Source organism: Homo sapiens, chromosome 2 (genome assembly GCF_000001405.40).
Source record: "Homo sapiens chromosome 2, GRCh38.p14 Primary Assembly".
Taxonomy (NCBI): domain Eukaryota; kingdom Metazoa; phylum Chordata; class Mammalia; order Primates; family Hominidae; genus Homo; species Homo sapiens.
The window spans coordinates 57,054,404-57,060,403 of NC_000002.12; positions in this window are offsets into that span (position 1 = coordinate 57,054,404).

The window sequence follows — 6,000 nt, forward strand, 5'->3', positions numbered from 1 at the left end:
TAAACACAAATTATTTTGAATTTTTCAGAAGTATGGTTTCGAAGTTTTAAGTTAAGCTTGCTTTTATTGCAAATATATATTTTAGGGTTGAATAGTCAATTCCAATATAGGATTTCATAGAGTGCATCTCATCCTATATAGGATTTGACTATTAAACCCTAAAATTTTCTTTTGTAAAATGGTGTATTTCACAATATATATACATATATACATACACATGCATATAAATATATGCATACATATATACTCACACACATGTATATGTATATTTTCATAGCCAGAGTATTAGGCTATTCAGAAACATAAGAGGTCATCAAGTATGAGAGTATAAAAGCTGCTTTTCAGCATTAATGTTGTGTCTATAATTCTTTATGGAGCAGCAAAGCTTAAATGACTAAAGCACGGATGAAAGTAATGATTAAAATACACAACTTCTATTTAGATTAAATATGAGAATTTAGGTTGTTCTTTTTATTTTTATTTTTTAAAGTTTTGTGGGTACATAGCAGGTGTATATATTTCTGGGGTGCATGAGATATTTAGGTATAGACATGCTATACACAGTAATCACGTTATGGAAAATTGGGTATTCATCCCTTCAAGCATTTATCCTTTATGTTATAGACAATCCAGTTATATTCTTTTAGTTATTTTTAAATGGACAATTAAATTATTATCAACTATAGTCAACCTGTTGTGATATCAAATGTTAGGTCTTTTTTATTTTTTCTATTTTTGTGTGTGTGTACTCATTAATAATTCCCACCTTCCTCCCAGCCCTCCACTACCTTTCCCTGCCTCCTGTGACCATCCTCCTATTCTCTGTCTCCACGAGTTCAATTGTTTTGATGTTTGTATTCCACAAATAACTGAGAACATGTGATGCTTGTATTTCAGTGCCTGGCTTATTTTGCTTCACATAATGACCTCCAATTCCATCTATGTTGTTGGAAATGACAGAATGTTGTTCTTTTTGATGGCTGAATAGTACTCCATTGTGTTTAAGTAACACATTTTATGTATCTATTCATCTGTTGATAAACATACGTTTTACTACATCTTGGCTACTGTGAACAAACATGAGAGTGCAGATATTTCTATATACTGATTTCCTTTCTTTTGTGTATACACCCAGCAGTGGAATTGCTGGATGGTATGGAAGCTCAATTTTTAGTTTTTTGAGGAACCTCCAAAACTGTTTTCCATCGTGATTATACTAATTTACATTCCCAACAGTGAACAAGGGTTCCTTTTTCTCTACATCCTCGCCAGCATTTGTTATTGCCTGACTTTTGAAAAAAAAGCTGTTTTTACTTGGGTGAGATGATATCTCGTTGTAGTTTTGATTTGTATTTAGCTGATGATCAATGATGTTGAGCACTTTTTCATATGCCTGTTTGCCATTTTTTTCTTCTTTTTAGAAATAGCTATTCAAATCTTTTGACCATACTTAATTGGATTATTAGATTTTTTCCTGTAGAGTTGTTTGAGCTCCTTATATATTCTGATTATGAATGCCTTGTCAGATGGGTAGTTTGCAAATATTTTCTCCCATTCTGTGGGTTGTGTCTTCATTTTGTTGCTTGTTTCCCTTTTATGCAGAAATATTTTGACTTGATCCAATTTGCCCATTTTTGCTTTGGTTGCCAGTGCCGTTGAGGTATTATTCTAGAAATTTTTGCCAAGACCAATGTCCTGGAGAGTTTCTCCAATGTTTTCTTATAGTAGTTTCATAGTTTAAGGTTTTACATTTAAACCTTTAATCTATTATGATTTGATTTTTATATAAGGTGAGAGAGATAGGGATCAAGTTACATTCTTCTGCATATGGTTATGCAGCTTTCCCAGCACTATTCACTGACAAGACTGTTCTTTCAGGTGTATGTTTTTGGAAGCTTTGTGAAAAATGAGTTCATTATATGGGTATGAATTTGTTTTCATGTTCTCTGTTTGTTGAACTGGTTTATGTGACTGTTTTGATGCCAATGCTATACTGTATTGGTTACTATAGCTCTGTAGTACAGTTTGAAATCAGGCAATGTTATTCTTCCAGTTTAGATCATTTTGCTCAGGATAGCTTTAGCTATTTTGGGTCTTGTGTGATTCTATATACAGTTTAGGATTGTTTCATCTATTTCTGTGAAGAATGTCTTTGGTAGTTTGATAGGAATTACACAGAATTTGTAGATTTCTTTGGTTAGTAAGGACATTTTAGCAATATTTATCCTTTCAATACATCAACATGGAATATCTTTCCACTTTTGGTGTCCTCTTCAATTTCTTTCATTAGTGTTTTACAGTTTTCATTGGAGACATCTTTCAATTCCTTGCTTAATTTTTTTTCTTAGGTATTTAATTTTATGTGTGACTAGTGTATATGAGATTAATTTTTTGGTTCCTTTTTCAGATTGTTGACTGTTGGGTTAAAAATGCCACTGATTTTTGTATATTGATTTTGTATCTTACAATTTTACTGAATTTGTTGATCAATTCTAATAGTATTTTTGTGGAGTATTTTGTTTTTTCTTTCCAAATATAAAATGTCATCTGCAAACAAGGATAATTTGACTTCTTCCTTTCCAATCTGCATGTCCTTTATATCTTTCTTGTGTCTGATTGCTCTAGCTCAGACTTCCAATACTATGTTGAATAACAGTAGTGAAATTAGGCATGCTTGTCATGTTCCAGATCTTAAAAAAAAGTTTTCACTTTTTACCCATTCAGCATGGTACTAGCTATGAGTCTGTTGTATATGGAGCTTTTATTATGTTGAGGTATGTTCCTTCTATACCCAGTTTTTGAAGGTTTTTATAAAGGAATGTTATGTTTTAACAAATGGTTTTTCATCATCAACTGAAATAGTCATACGGTTTTGTCTTTCATTCTGTTGATGTGATGTATCACGTTGATTGACTTGCATATGTTTAACCATCCTTGCTTCCCTGGGTAAATCCCACTTGGTCACGATGAGTAATCTTTTTAATGCATAGATGAATTCAGTTCGCTAGTGTTTTGTTGAGGATTTTTGCATTAGTATTCATCAGATATATTGGCCTGTAGTTTTCTATTTTAGTGTGCTTCTGTGTGATTTTGATATCAGGGTAATACTAGCCTCATTGAATGAGTTTGGCAGTGTTCCCTCTTCTAGTTTTTGGAAAAGTTTGAGTAGAATTGGTATTTTCTTTAAATGTTTGATAGAAATCAGGGCCGGGTGCGGTGGCACATGCCTGTAATCCCAGCACTTTGGGAGGCAGAGGTGGGAGGATCACTTGAGATCAGGAGTTTGGAACCAGCCTGGCCAACGTAGTGAAACACCATCTCTACCAAAAATACAACAGCAAAAACAAAAATAGCTGGGCGTGGTGGTACGTGCCTGTAGTTGCAGCTACTTGAGAGGCTGAGGCATGAGAATAGCTTGAACTTGGGAGGCAGAGGTTGCAGTGAGCTGAGATGGTGCCAGTACACTCCATCCTGGGTGATAAAGCGAGACTGCCAAAAAAAAAAAAAAATGTTCGGAGAATTCAGCAGTGAAGACATCGGGTCCCGGGCTTTTGTTTTCTTTACCAGGAGCCTTTTTATTATGACTTTGATCTCGTTACTTTTATTGGTCTGTTCAGGTGTTGCACTTCTTCATGGTTTAATCTTGGTACCTTGCATGTATCCAGGAATTAATCAATTTCTTCTAGATTTTCTAATGTATTGGCAGGTAGCTGCTCACAGTAGCCACTAATGAGCCTTTAATTTCTACAGTATCAGGTGTGATGTCTCCTTTTTCATCTCTCATTTTACTTATTTAGATCCTCTCTCCTGTTTTCTTACTTTGCCTAAAGGTTTGTCGATTTTGTTTGAATTTTAAAAAAACAACTTTTTGTTTTATTGATCTTTTGTGTTGCTTTATTTTAAATTTATTTATGTTCTGATCTTTATTATTTCTTTTCTTCCCTAGATTATGGGTTTGGTTTGCTCGTGCTTTTCTTGTTCTTTAAGATGCATCATTAGGTTTTTATTTAAAGTGTTTTTCGATGCAGACACTTATAGCTATACATTTCTCTCAGTACTGTTTTCATGCTATCTCAGAGGTTTTGGTATGTTGTGTTTCCATTATCACTTGCTTTAAGAAATTTTTCGATTTCTTTCTTAATTTCTTTATTTGCTCACTAGGGATTTGGGAGCATGTTGTTTAATTTCCAAGTTTTTGTATAGTTTCCAAAATTCCTCATCATTTATTTATAATTTTATTTCATTGTGTTCATAGAAGATGCTTGATATTGTTTCAATTTTTAAAAAATGTTTTAAGACTTGTTTATGACCTAACATATGGACTCGAGAATGATCCATGTGCTGAGGAAAAAAAAATGTTTATTCTGCAGCTGTTGGATGAAATGTTCTGTAAATATCTATTAGGTCTATTTGGTCTATAATGCAGATTAAATCTGATGTTTCTTTGTTGATTTTCTGTCAGGGAGATCTGTCCATTGTTGAAAGTGGGGTGTTGAAATCTCCAGCTATTATTATATTGGGGTCTATCTCTCTTTAGCTCTAATAATATTTCCTTTATATATCTGGGTGCTCCTGTATTGAGTGCATACATATTTAGAATAATTACATCCTCTTGCTAACTTGACCCTTTTATCATCATTAGTGACTTTCTTTGTCTCTTCTCACCATGTTTGTCTTGAAATCTATTTTGTCTAATTCAAGTATCACTACTCCTGCTCTTTTTTGGTTTCCTTTGGCATGGAATATCTTTTTCCATCCCTCTATTTTATAAATGACAATGTTTCTTGTAGGAAACAGATCATTGGTTCTTGTTTCTGATCCATTCAGCCACTCTGTGTCTTTTTTCACAGAGTGTAAAAATAATAATATTGAATGTCCATTTAAATTCAATATTTTTATTGATAAATAGGGACTTACTAATACCATTTGCTATTTGTTTTCTGGTTGTTTTGTGGTCGTGCCTTCTTCTTTCCTCCCTCCTGTCTTAGTTTTAGTGAAAGTGATTTTCTCTGATTGTATGCTTTAATTTTTTTGCTTTTTTCTTTGTGTATCCGTTGTTTGTTTTCTGATATGAGGCTTGCAAATACTATCTTATAGCTCATTATTCTAAACTGATGGAAACTGAACACAGATTGCCTAAAAAATTAAGCAAACTTGCAAAAAAAAACTAATAGAAATCTACACTTTATCATTGCCCCCTAGTTTTTAACTGATTGTTGTTTCTCTTTATGTCTTGAAAAGTGGTGGTGGTAATCATTTTTTATTGTTTCACTATTTAGTCTTTCTACTTAAGTCAAGAGAACTTTACAAACCAGTTACTGCATCCTACTATTCTGTGTTTCTGGGTGTGCTTACAATTACCAATGAGTTGCATATTTTCAGATGATTCCTTCGTGTTCATTATCATCTTTTTCTTTCAGATGGGAGAATTCCCTTTAGCATTTTTTGTAGGACAGGTGTGTTGATGAAATGCGCCAGCTGTTGTTTGTCTGAGAAGGTCTTTGTTTCTCCTTTATGCTAAAAGGATATTTTCACCAGACATACTATTTTAGAGTAAATTTTTTTTTCTCACTTTAAATATCTCATGCTACTCTCTCCTGGCCTGTAAATTTTCCACTAAAAAATCTGCTGCCAGGTGTATCTGGGCTCCATTGTATGCTAACTGTTTCTTTTTTCTCACTGCTTTTAGGATCCTGTCTTTTTCCTTGACCTTTGGGAGTTTATTAAATTCCTTGAAGTAGTCCTATTTGGGTTAAATCTGCTTGGTGTTCTACAGCCTTCTTGTATTTGGATATTGGTATCTTTCTCTATGTTTGGAAAGTTATCTAGTACTATCCCTTTGAACAAACTTTCTACCCCTATCTCTTACTCTAACTCCTCATTGAAGTCAATAACTCTTAGTTTTGCCCTTAGAGGCTATTTTCTAAAACTCGTGAGCATGCTTTATTATTTTTTATTCTTCTTTTCTTTTTTGTCCTTTTACTATGTACTTTATAGTAG